Genomic DNA, 23,506 nt, shown 5'->3' with positions numbered 1-23,506 from the left:
CAAAGCTAGAAAGACTAAACAATGCTCTAATCCAAACCCACAGAAAGTGGAAGCTCTGGTCTTTAGCTTCAGTTGTCAGATTCCCGCCTCATTCCACCTTCTGCTTCCCAAGCCACTGTCCAGCCTAGCAGATGGCCCTCCAGATCCTTGGGTAAGAGAAAGCATGGGGACTGTACAAAGTACAGTCCTGTTATTTAGGCATCCACTCTAATGTAAACCAAAACTAGTAACTGAGGACCCCAACTGCCTCCTCCAGAATTGGTTTCACATCAAAGATAGCCTATGGAAAGTGTTGCTTCTTGGGGCTTCCCAGACTGTCCCTTCTCAGGCATGATCTTCTTCTACAGTATTCTTCGGCCCATATGATGAAAGACTGGCATAGAGGCTAGTACAATGGTCAGCAACCTCTTAAAAGATATGACAAGGAACGGTACCACTTCCCTAGAAATACCTGAGAAAATGGTATGCTGAGAGATTAGAGGTTGTCAACAGGGGGACAGGTGCTAAAAACAGTACATTATTCATTGGGATGAGAGTTAAAAAGGTCTGAGATTTTGTGGTTTGGAGCAAGGTTAAGTTCCACTGACTCAAACATAGTAAAGGAATCCTGTTGGCTGCTAATTCTCACTACCATCACTGGTACTGGTAACATAGTTAGCCAATATACATAACATTTTGTGCTCACACCCGTGTCAGGAACTATCCTATAATTAATAAATGTCAAAGAATTGAATTTAAATAATGTTTTGACTATTAATAATTAGATCACTAGATCAACAACCCCAAAATACCATGTGTATCATGTACATGCACACATAAACCTGTACACTTGGATTTAATCACTGGTTCTACTGGATAGCTAGCCTGTGGACTGATCTACCTTCTTGTAGATTCCTATTAAAGAAATAATTTTTTAAAAATTAAACACAAAATGTTTTTAAAAGTTCTCTCCCAGACATGAGTATATTTTAAAGTACATATTAAAAGCCAGCAGTTTTTTTTTAACAGCAAAAGCCATAAAACAAGCAGTTCTCAATTTACAGTTAACATAGCAGCCCATCAAGTGCTCCTCTCCCTTAGCATATATGGTACTTTGATGCATATTGTTGATATTGACAGTCATTTTGCAAATAAATGTTCTGAAAGCTTTCATCTTATTTAAAGGAGTAAACATGGAAATAAAGGCACCATTTTAATCAGGTTATTGTGATAAGACCAAAAACATTCCACAAAGTGCATACCTCATTTTGACTTCTCTATTAAATTTAAACTTGAGTTAAAATGTTAATAATTTGGCTTTAATTGAAGAGAGAGTTCATTCAGAGAATTACAGAGTTCGAATTGGGATGAATCCCCAGAGTTTATTTAATCTGGTACCCTCATTAATTGGAAGAATGTGAGGCTCAAAAATGAAATGACCACAAGAGCCATGACTAGAATCTCTTCGTTACTCAGTCCAGTGCTCTATCATACCAGCTACTTTCACTCTTCTAACCCACAGTTTACCGTATTTTCTAATACATGCTAGTATATTGCCTAGTACACAACATCCTTTCAAATATTCTTTCTTTATTCTCCAATTCACTTTTCAGGAGAATAGATAACCTCAATCATATTGATTCTCAGCCTAATGGTCTCCCTTACATAAATTATAATGACATAAGCATTTTGTATCACTTTATTGTTACCATCGACCTCCTACAGTTTGGGGGAACCCAATCATTCTTTAAAACATTAGAATGACAACTCCAGTTGATTTGGCATATTGTATAGGTGAGTGGGAAAGACTTGTCAAATCCCAGAAAGGGGCGTGGCACCAGCACCACCCAACCAGAAGAAAAATCTCTCTTTGGTGCTAGTGTCATAGCTCCCTATCTGTTCCGCTAACCCATTAAATGATGTGGTGGAAGAGGATCCTTTCACAATCTTTGTTCATTTTTTTACAGAGCAAATGGAAGTCATACATAACCTTTTACAAAATTCATTTTTTGTTTTAATTTTTTTCCAGGTATGTGATATTTGTGAGACATCAGAAAATCAATTTATATTTTTTTCCTCTGTTAAACCAAGCCCCACAAATTGAAACCTGACAGGTTAGAATAAGTTCTTAAATATCCACCCAGCCTTTGAATTCTTTTGCTTCTAGTGTTGGCCAAAACTGTCTAAATAGTACAGCTTCTTCTCTAAGGTAGATGGAAGAGATTATCACAACAGCTCAACCCACTAAAAGCATTTGTATTTTATAAATACCAGTCAGCAAAGACAAAAATTAAGATATTCATTTTTTCAATGATCAAAGAAATGTGACCAGCTCTGATGGGCAACCCAAACTCAAGAAGTGTAACTTTTCTGCAGAACCCTTCAGAACTTAAAAGATCACTGATGTAAGGTCACTAGCTGGCACCTCTTCTTATAATTACAATTAAATGGGCAATAACTTACCCTTACATAATGACAACTACTATTAAAGAGAAATCATGGCATTTGAGAACAATGACATAAGATTAAATCAAGGCACCATGGCTAACTATTCAGGAGACTATATAACAGGTTAAAAAAAAATTCAAGGCCAGGCACGGTGGCTCACGCCTTTAATCCCAGCACTTTGGGAGGCCGAGGTGGGTGTATCACCAGGTCAGGAGATCGAGACCACCCTGGCTAACATGGTGAAACCCCGTCTCTACTAAAAATACAAAAAATTAGCCAGTCGTGGTGGCTGGCGCCTATAATCCCAGCTACTCGGGAGGCTGAGGCAGGAGAATGGCATGAACCCTGGAGGTGGAGCTTGCAGTGAGCTGAGATGGTGCCATTGTACTCCAGCCTGGGCAACAGAGCAAGACTCCGTCTCAAAAAAAAAAAAAAAAATTCAAAGTTAAAATAACTGAAAATCAAGGTCAAGTAGCAAAATACTTCTAAACTGCCTTAAGCCCTGAACTGTCATAATATTTAAAAATTTATTGTTTCTTGCTTGAGACAGTTTGTCTCCTAAGATACTACTCAGAATAAAGACACCTGCTGAAATGCAATCAAAGTCATTTTCTAATACCTAATATTTCCTGGAATTCTCCCAAGATCCAGCCATACTCAAAGCAACATTTAAGTCTACACTTGGGTAAAAATTCTAAGTTTACTTTATTCATTTTCAATTCACTATTTAGTTTTTCTCTTTTCTCCTTACTTTGTAAAAAATCTACCACCAACTTTCAATAAAATAGAGATGGTTTCTTTTCCTGGGTCTGGTGACACTGTTATATATGAAAATACACACTACTTTCCTAATGTTTTTGGACATACTTTTTCCAAGGAAAGCATAATTGAACTGCAGTTCTAAAATCAAAGCTGAATTCACACACTGATGCTCCCAATTCAATGTTTACTCAGTAATGCAAGAACCTATGCTTTTACATCAGGATTCCACGGCTGCACCCAAAGCACTCAAAGGAAAAATGTAATCTGACAGCATAAGAAATAATCCCCCTATAACTGTTTATTAGAATGTGAATATAATCCAAATCAATAACTAAAAAAAAATCAAATTACAGAGCATGCATAAAATACAAAGTAGCAATTTACAAATAGATAATATTATCTTCATAACTAATACACTAAAATAATAAAATGGCTATAGAAGAAAACCAAAATGACTGACTACAGCAATGCCTTCCGTGTGCCCCACACATCATGAGCACCGCAAGAGACAAAAGATTAACTATGAAATATAGTAATCTAAGCAAGCCCACACATACATATTTTTGGGGATTTCCCACCATCCTGAATAGTATCACTGCAGTTGACACAACTTCCAGGAAACTGCAGAGTAAGTGCTTAATATTATCCACGAGAAAGCAAAACTAAATATTAGTGTGCACATTTCTGAATGAGAAACTAATTGCTTCATTGATTTCAACAATGTAGTGGAAGAAAACTATTTCAGATCTCTACAATGCCTAAATGCATTCTATTTAAACTCAAGGTACTATTTCATTTTACATACTAAAAGAATACATGCCTTTAAGTGGTACCACTTGAGCAGAAATTAACCTCTCACTGTACTCTTCAGACATACTGAAACCAAAGATTTAACTGGACTATATTCTATAATATACTGCAAAACTCAAATATTAGCATTGTTAAAATAATTATCCATGCCTGCTGGTGGATATGGTGATAAAACTAGGTTGTATTTCACTTACTGGAAGGTTCTAAGACAAAATTAACACTTCAAAATTTGACACTACCAGCATTAAACCAATTATTGCCTGAGCAATAAAATGCCACATAATCTACCGCTTGGAAATTATTATAGATCATTTAAATCTTTTGGGCTGCCTGATCATTGCCAACAGAGGCACCCGAGATGGAATACCACAAGTCTCTTCAGTTCCCAGCCTACCAGGCAGCACTGTTTAACTTATGGCCCCACAACCATACTACTAATGAAACCGTAACAATCTTTTGTGTTTACTAAGAGAATTCTCCAGAAAAAGTGCCCCCCTCTCTAATCAACTTTGATGCTTACAAAAATTAAAAAACAAAATTTACTCAACTACATAAACCTATTAAGGCATTTTAGAAATTCATGTCCAGAATAATGGAAAATTTTCAAGCTCTCAAAATCCTGCTATGTTTATAGGGCAATTCTTAGATTTGTGGAAATGTACACTGCACTGAGAGAAGAGTGTATTACCTATAAGCTGCTCTGTGGCAAAATGGTAGCTTATTTCTAAGGTCTTCTTAGTTTGATTTGATCAAGACCAATAGGTCTGAGCTTCAAGTGATCAAGTTCTATTATGTCCTACATACAGTGACAGGCTTCCATGATGAAAAGTAAACAATAACTGAGGAATCCAAACATTCAGTTTATTAAACTAAGGCTAGTGAAGCCATAGCATGAAAAAAAGCTGCAGTCATTCGGGACAAGTGGATGATTTTATAAAGCTAAAATCAAAAGACTTAGGACATGGAAAAATTCATAAGTATGAAGTAATAAAACACAAAAGTGACACAAGAATTACAAATATATTTAAATCTCAGACCTGGGAAATGGACTATACACAGCCTTCTAGGGGAGAAGAGAAATGCCTTAGATGTTCTGACAGCACTGCACCTTTGGCTTGTTTTCAGTGGTTGGTGGAACATGAATAGGAACCACATTGTTGCTTGGAGACATGTCATTTTCGCGTCTGTCTGACATTTGCTTCTGAGAAACAATGCGGTAAATCTCTGAAGGAAAAAAGAAACCACAATACTTAGTGTGAATAAACCTATCATAGTTAGGATAAAAGATACATAAAGGTAGGAGATATATTTGCATCAAAGTCCCTAAGGAAACTGAACAGAGAATACATAAATTTAAAGTTTTATTTTCAAACAGCCACTGATTAGATTCAACCCTTTATTTTAACAATTGCCCTTTGGGTAAGAAAAGAAACAAAGGTTTTTCCATGTCAGAGGGAAAGGTTCACCAGTCAAATAAATCTTTGTTTAAAGAGGTAAACCAGGCCAGGCAGATCACCTGAGGTCAGGAGTTCAAGACCAGCCTGACCAACATGGTGAAACCCTGTCTCTACAAAAATACAAAAATTAGCCAAGCATGATGGTGGGTGCCTGTAATCCCAGCTACTCGGGAGGCTGAGGCAGGAGAATCACTTGAACCCGGGAGGCGGAGGTTGTCGTGAGATGAGATCGTGCCACTGCACTCCAGCCTAGACAACAGAGCAAGACTCGGTCTCAAAAAAAAAAAAAAGAGGTAAGCCAATAGCATTACATTGTTTATGGACTTAGATTCAAAGTAAACCATAAGAGTATTTTCAGTCTACCTTTACCCCAAAAAACAAACAAACAAACAAAAATTGCCTACACACAATGACATTGTACCACACAAAAAATAAATAAATTTGCACTATCAGACGCATTCGGCAGAGTACATCTTAACAAACATGCTAAAATCCCAAACGATTCTTGGAAGGGAAAAAAAGATAATGTGTTTATCAGTGACCTCCTGAACAAAACTTAAATTGTAATTAAAGAATGATACAAAATAGGCAACTTAAGATGTTATATGTAAACTCTATTTTTATTTCATGACACTTATCAAAAATAATTTAGTGTCTGCCTCTTTTACTAAGTGTTAAACTCTGTAAGGATCAAAACTGTGTCTGTCTTACTGCTGTACTGCAACATATAACATGTGTTGTGATAAATAAATAACCGCATGAATGTCACTAAATTCCTCCACAATAAGTATCTGTATGTAACACGTTTGGTCTTATACTGCACTGCCTAAAAGTTGTTCCCTGTGACTAGATTATAAAGTCCTTAAGAACAGAGAATGTACCTTATTTTTGTTTACTCTCCCAGTTGTCCCTCCAAAAACACTACTCTCAAAAAGCAAGATAATTCTAAAAATGTGTCAAATTAACACAATTAGCCTCCTAATACGATGTACTAGGAAAGACACAATGTATTCCTATAAAGGACACCATGTATTCCTGACAAAAATATTTAAAACTAATTTAATCATGAGGAAATAATGAGATAAATCCAGACTGAGATGGGGATAAATGTTCTAAATTTGTGCTATCCAAGAGAGTAGCCATCTATTTTAATTAAATAAAATTTAAAATCCAATTCCTCATCTAACTAGCCACATTTCAAGTGCTCAATAGTAACCTGTGGCTACTTTATTCAACATCCCAGATACAAAACAATTCCATCTGTTAAGGCTCAGAAACCCATACTCCAAAATGGCGTTTTGATATGCTGAACTAAAGAAGCCTCAAGGTCTCTCTGACCTTCTCCCCCTCATCCTCTCTCCCTGGCACAGGATGAAGCTGAAGTTCCTTCATCTGCCTGAGATCCAGACCCACTAAAAGGGACAATTGTTTTTTCTTCCCCTCCCTGTAAGATCAAGAATGTAACCACACTTAAACAGACTCTTTCACGAGATAATGTACCAATTAATTTCTGTCCACTGATCCGTTCATCCTCCCCAGTAATCCCCTCAACAGAATTCCTTTTCTCCTCCTTCCCATAACCTGTTTTGCCAGAATGGCATAAGCCTCTGAATGCCATTGGGAGGTGGGTCATCTCTCTGGTTCTCCCCAGAGAAAACCAGTGTACAGTGTACATGTTAATAAATTTCGTATGCCTTTTCTCCAATTAAAATGCCTTTTGTGAGTTGATTTTCCAGCAAACTTTCAGAGGTTTCTATTTAGATCTCCTACAAGAGAAATCTAAATGATATAAAAATGATAAAGCAGGATTCTTTTTCTTCCTAACCTCTACCTATCGTTTGGACCTCGTGAAAGGTCCAAAGCTGTATCAGATAGCTTTCAGCAAACCTTCAGAGGGCAATAGGGACACTTCCCTTGGCTCCTATACATGTGATCTTTAAATGGATCTTGAATTTTTTAATTAAAAAACAAATCTACAAAGGACATTATTAGTATACTGAAGAAATATGAATATGGATTGCACATTAAAAACTGTATAAATGGGCCAAGCGAGGTGGCTCACGCCTGTAATCCCAGCACTTTAGGAGTCCAAGGCGGGCGGATCACGAGGTCAGGAGATCAAGACCATCTTGGCAAACATGGTGAAACCCCGTCTCTACTAAAAATACAAAAAAAAAATTAGCCAGGTGGGGTGGCACCCGCCTGTAGTCTCAGCTACTTGGGAAGCTGAGGCAGGAGAATCGCTTGTCCCGGAGGGGAGGTTGTAGTGAGATAGCACCACTGCACTCCAGCCTGGGCAACAGAGCACACTGTCTCAAAAAAAAAAAAAAAAAACTGTATAAATGTTAAATTTCTTGGATACGACATATGGTATTGTGATTATGTAGGAGAATGCCTTTTTTTTTGAGACAGAGTCTCACTCAGTGAGCAGTGAGGTTGAGACTGCACCACTGCACTCCAGCCTGGGGACAGTGTGAGACCCTGTCTCCAAAAAAAAAAAAAAACGGTGGGGGCGACTGCATAGGAATTGGTATATTCATTTGGTTCTAAAGGAGAACATGCCTTTGAAAGAAGGAAATAGATCTAGTTTAGCATACCCCCCCACCCCCACAAAACTCCCAATGAAATAACCTTCTCTAATCAGACAGCTAGAAGTTACCTGCTTCCTACTTTCTTATCAGGTTTTTGGTTTGGTTTTTTTTTTTTTTTAATGACACACCCAGCCACAAGAGACTTAAGTATGTAAATTACTTGTGGAACCTCTTAAAGCCAATCACTCTTTATTGCTTTGGTGGCATTTTTATTAGCAGACATCCTTTTTGGTAACTGGAGTAAGTGCAGCAGTAATCTATTTCTAAAAAACAGTATGCTGTACTTGTAACACACCAACACTGCTCAAATTTCTTGCTTTGTAATGAGATCTCTTTAATTATTTACTTCTCTATGTTCTTTGAGAAGTCTGCCTTTCCCTCTCTTCCAGTTTTACATATATTTGTTTTTTATGTAAGAACTTTTCTTTGTTTTGGTTCCCCTAATTTAATCTTCAAAACAATTTATAAGGAAGTTAAAACTTACAGTGGGTTACATATTTCATCTTAATTTACACACATAATTTACACTTGAAAAAGAAGAGCCTCCCAGTTTGAGACTAGAGGGAAAGCTTAAAGATGCAAGTTAATTATCTTTATTCCTTAGCCACTCATCTGATTGAATGACTGAAAGGTAAATCCTTTTCTTTAGCCTTGGCACCCTCCCATCCCATCCTTTTTCATTGAAACAAAATCTAAATAAAGATTCCATATCCTTTTTTTTTTTAATTTTAATTTTAGTAGCCTGTCTTTATTGAATCCTAGTTGTCTTTCCTTAATGCCTCTTCACATTTGAACCACTGTCAACCTTCTCAGACATAAATTTTAGCCACTCCCCTTCCCCCACAAAAGAATCTAAGAAAAGATACACTTGCTGTCTGTTTTTGTTAGTTTACATATTCAGTTGACTACAGCTTACTGTTTTTCAACTTCTGAGAAATTAGTTCTTAATTTTGGAAAATGTAGTAATTCAGTTAATACATCTCTAACTTTTTTTTTATGGAAATTTTCTGACATACCAAAAGCAGAATAAGGCCAGGGGCGGTGGCTCACACCTGTAATCTCAGCACTTTAGGAGGCCAGGCGAATCACGTGAGGCCAGGAGTTAGAGACCAGCCTGGCCAACATGGTAAAACCGGTCTCTACTTAAAATACAAAATTAGAGAGCATGGTGGCTCAGGCCTATGATCCCAGCTACCCGGGAGGCTGAGACACGAGAATTGCTTGAACCTAGGAGGCAGAGTCTTGCCTGGCAGAACAAGACTCAGGGGAAAAAAAAAAGAATTTAGTGTTCATGCTAAAAAGATATCCTGGACATATTAATTACATGGAGAAACCTAGCAGACATCACCTTAACCAAGTGGTCAAAGTTAACATCACTAGTAATTAATAGGACATCCAATTATCACAAACCTGCTGATATGATGCACTGAGAACACTTCTGTGGTGTTCCTGCCAAAAGTGTATAACTTGAGTTTAATCATGAGGAAAGAAATCAGAAAAGCCCAAAATGAGGTACACAACAAAATAACTGGACTGTACCCTTCAAAAATGTCAAGGTCAATAAACAAAAGATTGAGGAACTGTTCGAGATTAGAGGAGACTAAAGAGATATGACTGCTGAATGAAACGCATGACCTGATCTTGGACTTTCTTTGGCTAATAAGGGTATTATTGGAACAACTGGCAAAATCTGAATAAGGTCTGTAATTAAACACTGATGTGGCACTATTATCTAACTCTCTGATTTTGATAATTATACTGTGGCTATAAAAGAGAATATCCTTGTTTTTACAAAATATACACTGAAAAGTACTCAAGGATGAGGGTCATCATGTCTGCCACTTAATCTCACATGGTGCCGAAAAAATATGTATATATTTAGAGCGAAGAGAAAGAAAAGGACAAAGCAGATGTGGTAAAATATTAACATCTGAGGAATATGGGTGAAGGATATTTGCAAATTCTTTTTACTATTATTTCAACCTCTTTAAATTTGAAATTGTCAAAATGCAAAGTTAAAATAAAAAAGTAAAAGGTATGTATTAAAAACATCCTTTAGTGAACCTGAGAAAAGACAAAGCTGTACTGAAATTCAGAGGCGGAGCAATCTACCAGTCTCACTCTCATACTAGTAAACTACCTCTAAAAAAATACCATCAGCAAAATCATCTCATGGAGTCACTTTCAAATTCATGGGTGTCAAGAATGCCATGGGTCTATTCTGAAACCAACAACACAATTAACTCTGAAGTAACAATGTAAATTTTCTGATATATAATTTTACAACTTAAAATTTTTGGCCAGGCATGGTGGCTCATGCCTATAATCCCAGCACTTTGGGAGGCCAAGGCAAGCAGATGGCTTGAGCTCAGGAATTCAAGACCAGACTGGGCTCCATCTCAATTTTTAGAAATTTTAAAGCTATTTTTTCTTTCAGCAATATCAAAACACAACGTAAATACTCCCTTAAGACTGTTAACATTTAAGGTAGAATCAAGTGCAATAAAGAGTCTGTCCTCTTCACTGTTTTCTCTATGCATTCACACTTCCACTGGCATACAGGAGGAAGAAAGTTTAGAACAAACATCCTAACACCTGCAGAACAACACAGATGTCTGCTGCCACATGCAGTGATCTCTGATCCTACAGACCAACAGTGAGATTTATGCAGGAAGCTGAGGAAACAGTGAATATAGAAAGGAAAAGTGGTAGCAAGTGAAACTAAAGTCTTCTTTGCTTTCAAGCAACAATTAAGCTGTAACAAAAGTTCAATCTAGAGTGAATTTTAAGAAAAGCAACTATATGTTCATCTTTTTTTTTCTTTTTGAGACAGGATCTCACTCTGCCCACAAGGCTGGAGTGCAGTGGCATGATCTCGGCTCATTGCAGCCTAAACCTCCCAGGCTCAAGCAATCCTCCCACCTCAGCTGGGACTACAGGCGCACACACTACCATGCCTGGCTAATTTTTTTGTGTTTTTTTTTTTTTTTTTTTTTTTTAGAGACAGGGTTTTACCATGTTGCCCAGGCTGGTCTTGAACTTTTGAGATCACTGCATGTGGCAGCAGACATCTGTGTTGTTCTACAGGTGTTAGGATGTTTGAGCTCAAGCGATCCGCCTGCCTCAGCCTCCCAAAATGCTGGGATTACAGGCGTGCATCAACATGCCCAGCTCTTAAAGGGCTCAATTTTAAGTACCGACTAGTTCATGTTTGAGTGGATCAGAAGCTCAATGTTACAAAATGATGCATAAAATAGTTAACTGCAGATGGAAGACTTGGGCTCATCTTCACTTAATATCAGAATAAATGGGCCAGAATTACAGCAGAGGAGATTTGATGGAACATAAAAAATATTCCAACAATGAGGACTGTCTAAAAAGTTTTTTCAGATGAGACTTTCTGAGGCCTTAAAATGCTCACACATCTTTAAGGTAATTTAATTCACATGTTTTAAGACTATGACTCTGAGGAGCAGGGAGGTTCAGTGACTTTAGTTAAACGGGGAGTAGAAGCAAAGTGATAAAAATGTAATGCCCTAGAACTCCTGGGTCTCAATCTAGTACTCTACATGTTGACTTAATAAAATGTACACAAATGGCTATAAAGAAAACAAGGACTTGCAGACATACTACATATTTAATCAAATCTTGCTTGCTTAAAACAATCTGCAGTGAAACTTTGACAGAGAACATTCTAAAGGAAAGCTACTGTGTTCCAAAGACTGCTTATCCAACCCCAGCACTATTCTTCTGATAACAGAAAAGAATTATAATAAAATAGGTACATAAATCTCCAATTTTCTCATGCCTTAATTGCCGTTCAGCTACTAATTTGCCAACTGTTCTCTATATACCAGGGATAGATAAGTAATTTACAGTATTCAAAATGGGTACTTTACAGGTACTCATTTTTGAAGTCTAGGGCAGTGACAGACCATTCTTTGCTAAGGGTTACTGAGACAAAAAACCTTTAGGTCACAAAAGTCAAGTCAAATCCTATCACAAGATTTTATAAATATAAGCCTTCTCTCAAAAAAGAAATAACAAAACTCCTCAAAATATATATGAATTTTATAGATGGAGAAATTAAGGCCTAAAAGGGTTAGGTAACTTGCCTAAGATTGTACAACTAACAGTAAGTGGAGGAGCCAGGACTAGAACCCAAGTCAGGCTTCCAAATCTTAACTCCTTGACTTTACGCTTACATTTTTACAGTAAAAGAAGATAACATGTTAAAGTTAAAATCTGTTAATCTCTAATACAGGGGCTGCATACAAACAATAAATCAAAACTTGTTACATTATAATTGGAAACTCAATCATATCTCTGTATAGACTTTTTAGAACAATGCCACGTAAAACTATACTATATATTAAGACCACATTTTAAATCATGAGTTCTTAAAAGTAACATACAATTTAAAAGTATTTAAAAACAACCCATCAAAGTACTAATTAGAAGATTAAGACTAATCTTACTAATAAATCTGGTTATTCTAATAGTTTCAGGATAAATATGAGTGAACACTTCTTATCTCAGAGGCTGACCTGGTCATTCACATTCCAAAACAGCATGAACTCCATCTCTTTCCAACTACTTTTTAAAACTTTTCTATATGCAATCATTGGCTGATTTTATCTACCAATTATCTCCCATGATACAATATAGAATACGCAAGGGATACCCTTCTTCTGTATCATGGGAGAATTTTATTTTGTCGCTATAATTTTTAAAAATGTTTTTTCCCTAGCTTTGCCTTTACTAAATTTAAAAAAGGGCATTTATATCTTTCTATAGCTGGGATCTCAATATTTACCTCATAAAAGTACATTTAAACATTACTTTGTGACCATGAAGAATGGAATACCTGGACTGAAGTAATAATGGAAGTGAATGAATTATTTTCAAAGTATTTTTCCCACTATAAATCAGATGAATTAGGACAACTGAAGCTCAGTGAGCAAGGGTTGTAGTTAATTTTGCACTCTAAACAGCTTTTGCTAGAGTAGCTCTCAAATGATAGTCACTCTCGGCTGATATATAGTTTAGTTACTGATTAGTTTGTTTAAATTACCTTCCTAAAACTTCTAGTCCTACTGGTGTAATCTGAAAATACAAGTCTTACCTGTTAAAATTGTCTGAAAAGCAGCTTCTACATTTGTAGAGTCTAGGGCCGAAGTTTCAATGAATGACAAACCATTCTTTTCTGAGGGGAGACACAAAAGTTCAGTCTTGTTAAGTTTTAAAACAAGGAATAGGATATACTCAAGCCCTCAAAAGGAAAAATAACAGAACTTTTTAAAACTTAAGACCTCCTCAACTTCTGGGACAGTAAGGGCACCATTCTGTTTACACTTTATTTATTTACTTACTTTATTTACTTCTTTATATAAGTAGAGATGCAGGTCTCACTAGGTTGCCCAGCCTGGTCTTGAACTCCTGGCCTCAAGAGTTTCTCCTGCCTCCATCTCCCAAAATGCTGAGATTACAGGCATGAGCCACCATGCCCGACCCTACTTACACTTTAATATTTACACTTTAATAGATTAAAAATAATAGCAAGAGAGCTGGGCATGGTGGCTCACTCCTGTAATCCCAGGACTTTGGCAGGCCAAGGCAGGCGGATTGCTTGAGCCCAGGAGTTCAAGACCAGCCTGGGCAACATGGCAAAACACTGGAGAGAGGTTTTGCTCTCTCTATATAAAGAATACTAAAAATTAGCTGAGCGTGGTGACACACACCAGCAGTCTCAGCTACTTAGGAGGCTGAGGTGGAAGATCACTAGAGCCCAGGAGGTCGAGGCTGCAGTGAGCCTTGACTGTGCCACTCCACTCCAGAATGGGTCACAGAGTGAGATCCTGGCTCCCAAAAAAAAAAAAAAAAAAAGTGAGAAATTGTCAATTGGCTCCTTAATTAAAATAAATACTTGTTATATCTAAGTACTACTCACTAGTGACGAATGACACCACTTAAAATGTGGTAAAAATGTATCAAGTGCCCAGTTATTTCCATCTCTTGCTATCCTCTCCATCAACTACATTGGCTATAGTATTCCGTATGTTGTAGCCATATTATTTACAATAAAGCTATTCTTGCATGGGAAATTTAAAAAACTGTTACAGAAAGTTATTCATAGCATAAGCATTAGTGCAAAGGCAAGACTTTCTCTCTTTTTTTGTTTGTTTTGTTTTGTTTTTTTGGGACGGAGTCTCGCTCTTTCGCCCAGGCCGGACTGCAGTGGCGCTATCTCGGCTCACTGCAAGCTCTGCTCCCGGGTTCACGCCATTCTCCTGCCTCAGCCTCCCGAGTAGCTGGGACTACAGGCGCCCGCCACCGCGCCCGGTTTTTTGTATTTTTAGTAGAGACGGGGTTTCACCATGTTAGCCAAGATGGTCTCAATCTCCTGACCTCATGATCCACTCACCTCAGCCTCCCAAAGTGCTGGGATTACAGGCATGAGCCACCACGCCCGGCCGCAAGACTTTCACTAGCCACAATGCACAATGTTGTCTTCTGGCATGCTGTCCCTACCAGAACAGGGGCAAGAGACACGTGAATTCTTTATGAAGCCAAAAAGTTACAGCTCCTAAGCAGCTGCATCCCTGTTGGTCCCTGACACTCCCTGAGCCTCTGCCTTTCACTCACATAGAGCTCACGTACAGCAGCCTTTGTAAACACAGAAACATAACAGAAAAAGAGACAGAATATACAATGTTTATATTCATTTTTTGGCAGCAAAATATTAGTGTTTTAATGACTCAAAGCAAAAAAGCTATACAGTCATCACAAACTTTCAAAACAATTCTTGCTAAGCATTCATGTTTACCTCTCTGAAACTATTATAACCTATTACTCTCATTGGAAGGTATCAAAACCACAAGACACAATGGTAAGAAATATCATGGAATTCCTATCACTAACCTGCAAAAGCTCTTGCTTCATCTGTAGGAACTGCCCTGAGATGACGTAGATCACTCTTATTGCCCACAAGCATGATAACAATGTTACTATCAGCATGATCTCTCAGTTCTTTCAGCCATCGCTCTACATTTTCATATGTGAGATGTTTAGCAATGTCATAAACCAATAAGGCACCTACAGCTCCACGATAATATCTGAAAACAGAAACATATTTAGTATCAGAAAACCACAAGATGGAAGCAAACACCAGGAAGAACTCAAAATATGGATCATGAGTTTTAAAAACATACTTATAAATAAATTTCTAAGGATTCCTAATACTAGAATTCTTAAAAGAAAAAAACAACAGTTCTTTTTCCAATACCAAAAGTCAGCTAATTCACTCGATGGCAACCCATTTCACAGAACTTAAAAACCATGAGACTTACGCTGATGTTATAGCTCGATATCGCTCTTGCCCTGCTGTGTCCCATATCTGTGCCTTTATTGTTTTTCCATCAACCTGGATGCTTCTTGTTGCAAACTCTACTCCAATGGTGCTCTTGCTTTCCAGATTAAACTCATTTCGAGTAAATCGAGACAGGAGATTACTCTTTCCAACACCAGAATCTCCAATAAGGACAACTGGAAAGACAAAGAATTCAATGTCAGATGAATGAGGCAAACATATTCAGAACACCACTATGCTTTCAACAGAATGAAGTTTGGCTTCAGAGTAAATAAAGCAAGAAAAATAAGGTATATGACTTTTAAAAAGGAATGGGGGTAGGGGGTTGAACAGCATGTTCTTGACCAGTTACCAATCAATAAAACCGATTTATTCTTTTCAACCTGTTTCTACCTGCATGACTTCCACATATCATCTGCTTAGCACAGATACGGTACCCTGTCTTAAACATGCAGTTTTAATCACAGATGCCCTTGGCATTGATGACAGGCATTAATTACCGTCAATGCTATGCCAATCTTACTACTTTAGAAGATAACAACTTCAAAGATAAATCCTAAACTAAATGAATAATTTATGATATTAAAATGTAATGTATCAGAAATGAAAACAACAAAGGCTGTTAGTGGGTAGGGAAGGACAAAATGAATATACTTCGTTTCATCAAAGACTGGGTGTGACCTCAGGACTGAGACCTAGGCAAAATGAAAAACATTTAACATATGAGGCATAGGGTTTATAAACATCACCATACAGATCACAGAAACTAAAATGACCTTTAATAGTTGCATTTATCAGATTGGTTCAAAGTTAGAGACCCCTCTGCCAAAAAAACCCAAGCCACTACAGATAAACAGGGGGTATTAGGAAACTAATAATTCTGACATACTGTGAGTCAAAACCAAAGCAAGTGCCGGGTGTGGTGGCTCACACCTGTAATCCCAGCATTTTGGAAGGCCAAGGTGGGCGGATTGCTTGACGCCAAGAGTTCGAGACTAGCCTGGCCAACATGGTGAAAACCCCATCTCTATAAAAATACAAAAATTAGCCAGGTGTGGTGGTGGGCGCATGTAATCCCAACTACTTGTGGGCCTGAGGCATGAGAATAGCTTGAACCCGGGAAGCAGAGGTTGCAGTGGGCCGAGATTGTGTCACTGCACTCCAGCCTGGGCGACACACTGAGACTCTGTCTTAAAAAAATAAATAAAATAAAATACAACAAAGCAAGGAGGGCATATACTTTCACTTATGACTCCATGATTTTTTTGAAAATAGGTCTTGATTAGATGAATTTGCTTCCTGTGATTTCTATAGGCAGCAGTTTATTTACTAACTAGATACATGGAGATTCTTTTTCACTCAAAGTGGTATTACGCTTAAGAATTTCAAAAACAATGGAGAAACAGGCAGTTAAGTTGTTTTAAAACATTTTCTATCTGAATTTAAAGTTCAAAATGAGTTCACACGTTTATAGAATCTGAGCTAGATATTTTTTCCTTTGTAAAAATTGGTATCAGCATTTCAGGAAACATTACATTCGTTCCTACTTTTGACTACTAAGACTTCTTCTTATCTAAACTAGCTAATTGATTTAGACATCAGGACTAGAAAATCAAACATACAAAAATAAGGCCAAGGAGTAAGACCATTCCTTACTAAAGAGACTGGGATGGTGGTACGAGTGGAAAGAATGGTAAAAACTGAGAGCTCACTGCATTCTGGTCAGAGGGCAAAGAGAGTCCATTATACATTCCCTCCTTGCCACAGGAGTGGATATAAGCTAGCCTCTGGACAGTCTTGGACAGAGTACATTATCAAATGCATATCTTTCTGGCTTTCTCAGTCAGCTGATTCAGCAAGAAATCATTCAGGAGGCAGTGAATCCAATGCAGCACAAAGAATGGTTATTTCTAACTAGAGAGTCAACTAGAGGGTGTCAAAGATGCTGTGGCAAACACATACATGCTTTTATTTGATATCAGAAGAAAATGTCAAAGTTATTAAAGTGATGTACAAAAGCAATGCACTTTCAATTTTATAGGATGGTTAGTTGATATACTAGTTTCCAAGGTCCACCATTCTGGATATGAAGTCAAATCTCAGTTTCAGTTAATAGTCTATTATTAATAGGATACATTCACTGTTGCCTCTTAGTACAAAAGGCTGGATGTTTGCTAAGGAAATGGCCTTTGAATCACTTATACAAAAAAAAAAATTTAAATACAAAAAAATACACAAAAAATACATGAATAAATACAAACAAAAAAATTAGACAGGCACGGTGGTGCATGCCTGTAGTCCCAACTACTCAGGAGGCTGAGGTGGGCAAATGGCTTGAGCCTGGGAGGCAGAGGTTGTGGTGAGCCTGGACTGTGCACCACTGTACTCTAGCCGGGGGAGTAGAGCCAGAACTTGTCTCAAAAAAAAAACTTCCAGCACTTTCTTTCTTTCTTTCTTTTTTTGAGACAGGGTCTCACTGTCGCCCAGGCTGGAGTGCCACGGCACAAGCAGAGCCCACTGCAGCCTAGACCTCCCAGGCTCAGAGGATCCTCCCACCTCAGCCTCCCTAGTAGCTGGAACTACAGGCACATGCCAACACGCTCAGCTAATTTTTTGTATTTTCTGTAGAGATGGGGTTTTGCCATGTTGCCCAGGCTGGGTCTCAAACTCCAGGGCTCAAAAGATCCACTCGCTTTGGCCTCCCAAAGTACTGGGATTACAGGTATGAGCCACCATGCCCGGCCAACTCCAGCACTTTCAAGTTTTGGTTTCCTCCCTTTTGACCTCCACTTTTAACTAATGATTATGTTCATTATCTCACCAATCTCAACTCCTTATACCATCATAAAGATAGCAAGGGAACTTTTCTCTTAATGTAACCAATTAATGTTAACACTACAAAAAAAAAGCACTCTAATCTGAAAATAACTCAAAATTCATGAATGTTTTAAAAAGTTATCTCAACTAGGCCGGGCGTGGTGGCTCACACCTGTAATCCCAGCACTTTGGAAGGCCAAGGAGGGTGGATCACCTGAGGTCGGGAGTTTGAGACCAGCCTGACCAACATGGAGAAACCTCATCTCTACTAAAAACACAAAATTAGCCAGGTGTGGTGGCGCATGCCCGTAGTCCCAGCTACTCAGGAGGCCGAAGCAGGAGAATTGCTTGAAGCGGGAGGCGGAGGTTGCAGTAAGCTGAAATCGCAGTAAGCTGAAATCGCGCCATTGCACTCCAGCCTGGGCAACAAGAGTGAAACTCCATCTCAAAAAAAAAAAAAAAAGTTATCAACTAGACATCTGCTGTATTTGAGTATCATCGCAAATACCTAATACTGAATATCAAGCTGCTAAATGCATAAAAGCAGAATATACATATTAATTATCCATTGAAAATTTCTGCCTCTTCAACCACATTTAGTTTTATACTTTCTCTTGCAAACTAATTTACTGGACTAAAATATAATTCATCAAAGACAGTACCTCAACCCTAAAAGTTACCACGTGAGAGAATAACTGGTAATTTTCATTCTAGTTTTCATAAATTTGGAGACATTTCTATTCTTTCAACTATATTCATAGTCCAACCTCCTCAAAAGTTTTTAATATACAATGCGTTCAAGGCAGGACACAGTGGCTCATGCCTGTAATCTCAGCACTCTGAGAGGCCAAGGTGGGAGGATCCCTTGAGCCCAGGAGTTTGAGACCAGCCTGGGCAACGTAGGGAGACCCTATCTCTACAAAAAAGAAAATTTTATTTCTGTAAGTGGGATAGTCTTAAAAAAAAAAAAATAGCCAGGCATGGTGGAGCACATTTGTAGTTGCAGCTACTTGGGAGGCTGAGGCAGGAGGATTTCTTGAGCACAGGAATTTGAGGCTGCAGTGGGCTATGACTGTGCCATGGCACTCCAGACTGGGCAACAGAGGGAGACCCTGCCTCAAAAAATATATATATATAGATATAGATATAGATATAATGCATACAATAAGGCTCAAGTCTAGACAAGTTTTTCCAGATTCAGCAGAATCTGAGTTGCTCAACCAAAACTTGTGAAAGAAAAACTACTACCAAGATGCAAGACAGCAAAGTTCCTATGATAATTTCTACTGACAATCAGCTGATGGTTAATTACTACTGACCTCCAATGTGATTGAAAAGAAAATGTCTTAAGCAATAGACTATGTATCCAGATATTTTCAGAAAATCTAACTGTGGATTGGTGTCTACCACACAATATTTGTAAACAGAAATCATGATTGATGCTTACTTATGTCCCACAGGGCCTTAACCACATTGTTCGTAAATACTTAAGGAATTAAAGTTTTAAAAATAAAAAGTCAACTTTAAATAAAATAAAACTAATTCCCTCCCACCAAAAGTCTCACTATTGGGCTTAAATAAAGGTTACTGTTCAAGAACAAACACATAATTTAGAATAATTGTCCTGCTCGCCCCACATTACATTCCTATTTAGACCACTCCATCCCCTATTAATCAAAATATCCCTTTATTTTGAACTGGTTAGTTACAAACTAACTCCAATTCCCTCAACTATTGCATTTGCTAGGTAAACCTTCTAAGTAGAAACAGCTGCAGTCCATCTCAGTGAATAAATCTCTGTACAATAAAGCCATTTTGAAATAAAATCATTCTTGCTTCACTTTAAAGTAGGATACTTGTATAAATAAGAAATTGGCTAAATAATCAGCATTGAAGTTAAAAAAGAAAAAGAAAAAGTGACTCATATCCTGTAAGAGCTTTAAAAAAGTAGAAATCTGGCCAGGCACGGTGGCTCACACCAGTAATCCCAGCACTTTGGGAGGCCCAGGCGGGCGGATCACCTGAGGTCAGGAGTTCGAGACCAGCCTGACCAACATGGAGAAACCCCGTCTCTACTAGAAATACAAAATTAGCCGGGTGTGGTGGTCCATGCCTGTAATCCCAGCTACTCGGGAGACTGAGGCAGGAAAATCGCTTGAACCCAGGAAGCAGAGGTTGCAATGAGCCGAGATCGCGTCATTGCACTCCAACCTGGGAAACAAGAGCGAAATACCATCTCAAAAAAAAAAAAAAAAAGTAGAAATCCTCCTTAGCAGAATTTTTAACACCCTATCTTAAACAGCAAAATGCACAACAAAATGAAACCATAACCCATGGAAACATAAAATGCATTCGAAGTTCCTAGTTTTATTTTCTTTAATAATATTTAAATGCTCTTGTAGTTGAACCTACATTTAAGGTTCAAAAAACTGACAAAGGCCAGGCACAGTGGCTCACGCCTATAATCCCAGCACTTGGGGAGGCTGAGGAAGGTGGATTGCTTAAGTCCAGGAGTGCGAGACCAGCCTGGGCAACATGGCAAAACCCTGTCTTTACAAAAAAACAAAAAACTAGCCGGGCGTGGTGGCGCGCTCCTGTAGTCTCAGCTACTCCTAGGAGCTAGAGAGTAGCTAGGGAGGCTGAGGTCGGGGGGTCACCTGAGCCTGAGGAGGCCGAGACTGCAGTGAGCCTTGATTGTGCCACTGCACTCCAGCCTGGGGGACAGAGCGAGACCCTGTCTCCAAAAAAAAAAAAAAAAAAAAAAAAAAAAACTGACAAAACCACAGTAACTTCTTTCACATTATTACCATTTATTGAGTCCTCATGGTTAAAATTTTACGAACAGTCTCATTATTTAATTCTCACAATCTTAAGAGGCAGGTATTTTCCTTTTTATAAAGTAGAGAACTGAGACTCAGAAAAGTTAACTTTTCCAAGGTCATAAAGTAAATATAAGACCTGAGTCAGGATCTAAACCGAGGTCTACGTGATTCCAAAGCTCAGTGCTCTCAATTGTTGCTAGAAGGATGGTCTAATCAAAAAGTTAAAATACTTTAGGCCAATTCAGAATATTTAATATTCTTTGTTAAAAAATAAAAGGACCTTGTATAACCAACATTCAAGTTCAAACCAAACAGGAGAAATACCCTGACGGTCTATCTTGTTCTGAATTAATTACTTCAAAGACAACCTTTATAAAAGCACACTACCATTATACCATATTTCAAAACACAAACCTAACCTTTAACCCCAAAGTCTCAAGAGATTCAAATAGTTTCACATCATCTCAGATACCTTCGGCAAAAGGTATGCTGTCATATACTTTTTGTAATCCAGGCCTCAGTTTTGTATTTGTAAAATGAACTAAGTACCCTGAAAGTACTTTCCAGTATGGAGGGGGAGGGTGGATACCAAAAGTATTCACCCTATACAGTAGAATATTCTGAGTCAGAGGAGTAAGAGATGATAAGAGTATAACAGCAGACTAGTTAGTATAACAAGATTTGCAAAGTATTGGGAAAGCAAAGAAATCTTTCCTGCTTGGTTTAGTCAATCATTCTTAGCACCCAATGGCAAAGACAGAAACAGTCACCATGCTTAACACTCTTGAAACTCCACCCTCCACAGTAAAGCTTTAATAGCAATGGCTTCTTCCTCAGTGGTAATGATCTTTGTTCGGCACACTACTGATGGCTACCTTCCCAATTCAGGAGCAGAGAAAGAGCATCAGAGTGAGAGTGCATTCACTGAACAAAAAAAGCATCTACTGTACTCTCTTCTCATTGAAAAATGTACCCTTTATCTTCGTTGATTAAAAAAAAAAACCGGATTCCTTCCGGACTCAACCAATAAGCAATTCTTTCTAACCAACCCTGACCCTCCAATATGTTCTGTCCAAGGGCACTACATGTTTCCGTATCTTATAATAAATATTTAATGTAACCAAAAGAGCACACAACTTCCTCCCACCCCCAACCTTTTGGGAAAGGTATGTGGCTAACTAGGGCTCTTCCCTTCCTGTTGGATCCTCCCAGCGTTGCAGCAGGAAGCAACCAGTTCATAGAGATAAAGCAAGCTAGTATTTGTGCAGCGCACAACCTTTCCTGCTCAGGAACCAGGCCTTCAGGTCTGGCAAGGATAACAGCCACCACCCATCCGCAACCTCATCTCGCGAACCGAGTAAAGAGTTATCCCGGGTTGGGTGCCACTGAGTAGGGAGGGCAAGAAAAGAAAAGGCTAGGTGGGAAGTAATGTCAGCCTGCCGGGTCACTGCGACAAGTGCGCGAGTGGGTGATGGGCGATCCCTCTTACCCTCCCTCCCACCACCCAGGTCGCAACGGAGACAAGGGAGCTCTAAACACGATTTGGGGAGGGAAGGTAGAGAGAGTTGCCAAATGGGGAGTGGGAGAGGGAGCGGTCAGAGAAGGTTAAGGACCGCGAGAACCGCGGGGCGGAGGGTGGGGGCGGAGGCCCTTGGCCCGCTCAGATTTTACGGGGTCCTGGACCCGGGATGGGAGAAGCTTAGAGGGGCGGCCGTCCAAGTGGAGGGGAGATACAGAAGAGACGCTCGCTCGAGGGGGGAAAGAGGGCAGATAAGAAAAAGACCTGTAATGGGAGTCTGCACCGAAGGCAAGGCCAAGAGGGAAGCGAAGAACCCGTCAGAGGGGCTTCGGGAGAGGACGCGAGCTGGGAAGGGTGTACGCCGAGGGGGAGGGGGCGCTACACCCGAAAAGAGAGATGGTGGGAGGAGCGGCGGGGCCGTAGAACCCGGGGAAAGGAATTCGACGATGTGGGAGAAGGCAGTCCGCCAGGGGAAGGACACGCAGGGAGGGGCTCTGAGGCCAGCGAAGGCCTATGGAGAGGTCGCTCAGAGAGCGGCATGTGATGGGGACCCCTGTCTGAGCGGGGGAGAAGAGGCTGAGCTGGGTAGGAGACGGAACCGCACAAAAAGGAAGGGCTGAGGGAGGCCTATATCAGTGCAGGGGTGGCCGGCACGAGGGTCCACCGGGAGTGGCCCGGGTCCCCGAACGAGGACTGTGTAGAGTGCGAGAGCCCATGGCCTCACCTTTAAAGAGGTAGTCGTACTCGTCGTCGCGGGTGCCCATTGCGCGGCCGAGGAGCGAAAGGGCGGGAGCAGCAGTGGTATCTGTGGGACCAGGGGGCGTCGCTGCAGGGGTAACCCGAGCGCCGAGCTTCAACTGCCGGACTGGGTGAAGAGCCCCTCCCTGCCGCTGCGCCATTTCCGGCAGGCCCCAGCCTTTAAGGGGAAGTAC

General features: G+C 39.3%; 1 protein-coding gene across 2 annotated transcripts; it reads right to left on the bottom strand.

Annotated features, from left to right (window-relative positions):
* Positions 1-934: 934 nt before the first annotated feature.
* RAB11A (RAB11A, member RAS oncogene family) lies at positions 935-23,433 on the bottom strand. Of its 2 annotated transcripts, none has more exons than NM_004663.5 (5): positions 23,299-23,433; positions 15,397-15,592; positions 14,969-15,162; positions 13,173-13,253; positions 935-5,223 (listed from the first exon to the last, which is right to left on the bottom strand). In NM_004663.5, exons 1-5 carry the CDS (start codon positions 23,336-23,338, stop codon positions 5,084-5,086), a joined length of 651 nt encoding a protein of 216 aa, NP_004654.1. In that variant the 5' UTR covers positions 23,339-23,433; the 3' UTR covers positions 935-5,083. The 2 variants fall into 2 exon arrangements, with proteins under 2 accessions (NP_004654.1, NP_001193765.1); NM_001206836.2 differs by having other exon boundaries at positions 935-5,200; positions 13,245-13,253.

The sequence above is a fragment of the Homo sapiens genome, chromosome 15 (assembly GCF_000001405.40).
Source record: "Homo sapiens chromosome 15, GRCh38.p14 Primary Assembly".
Taxonomy (NCBI): Eukaryota; Metazoa; Chordata; class Mammalia; order Primates; family Hominidae; genus Homo; species Homo sapiens.
This window is presented reverse-complemented; position numbering and strand designations above follow the sequence as displayed.

Coding starts and splice junctions, on each gene's coding strand:
- RAB11A (NM_004663.5), bottom strand. CDS start 23,338: ATGGGCACCCGCGACGACGAGTACGACTACCTCTTTAAAG. Junction 15,593..23,298: donor GTACGACTACCTCTTTAAAG/GTGAGGCCATGG, acceptor TTGTCTTTCCAG/TTGTCCTTATTGGAGATTCT. Junction 13,254..14,968: donor TGAAGCAAGAGCTTTTGCAG/GTTAGTGATAGG, acceptor GTCTCCCCTCAG/AAAAGAATGGTTTGTCATTC.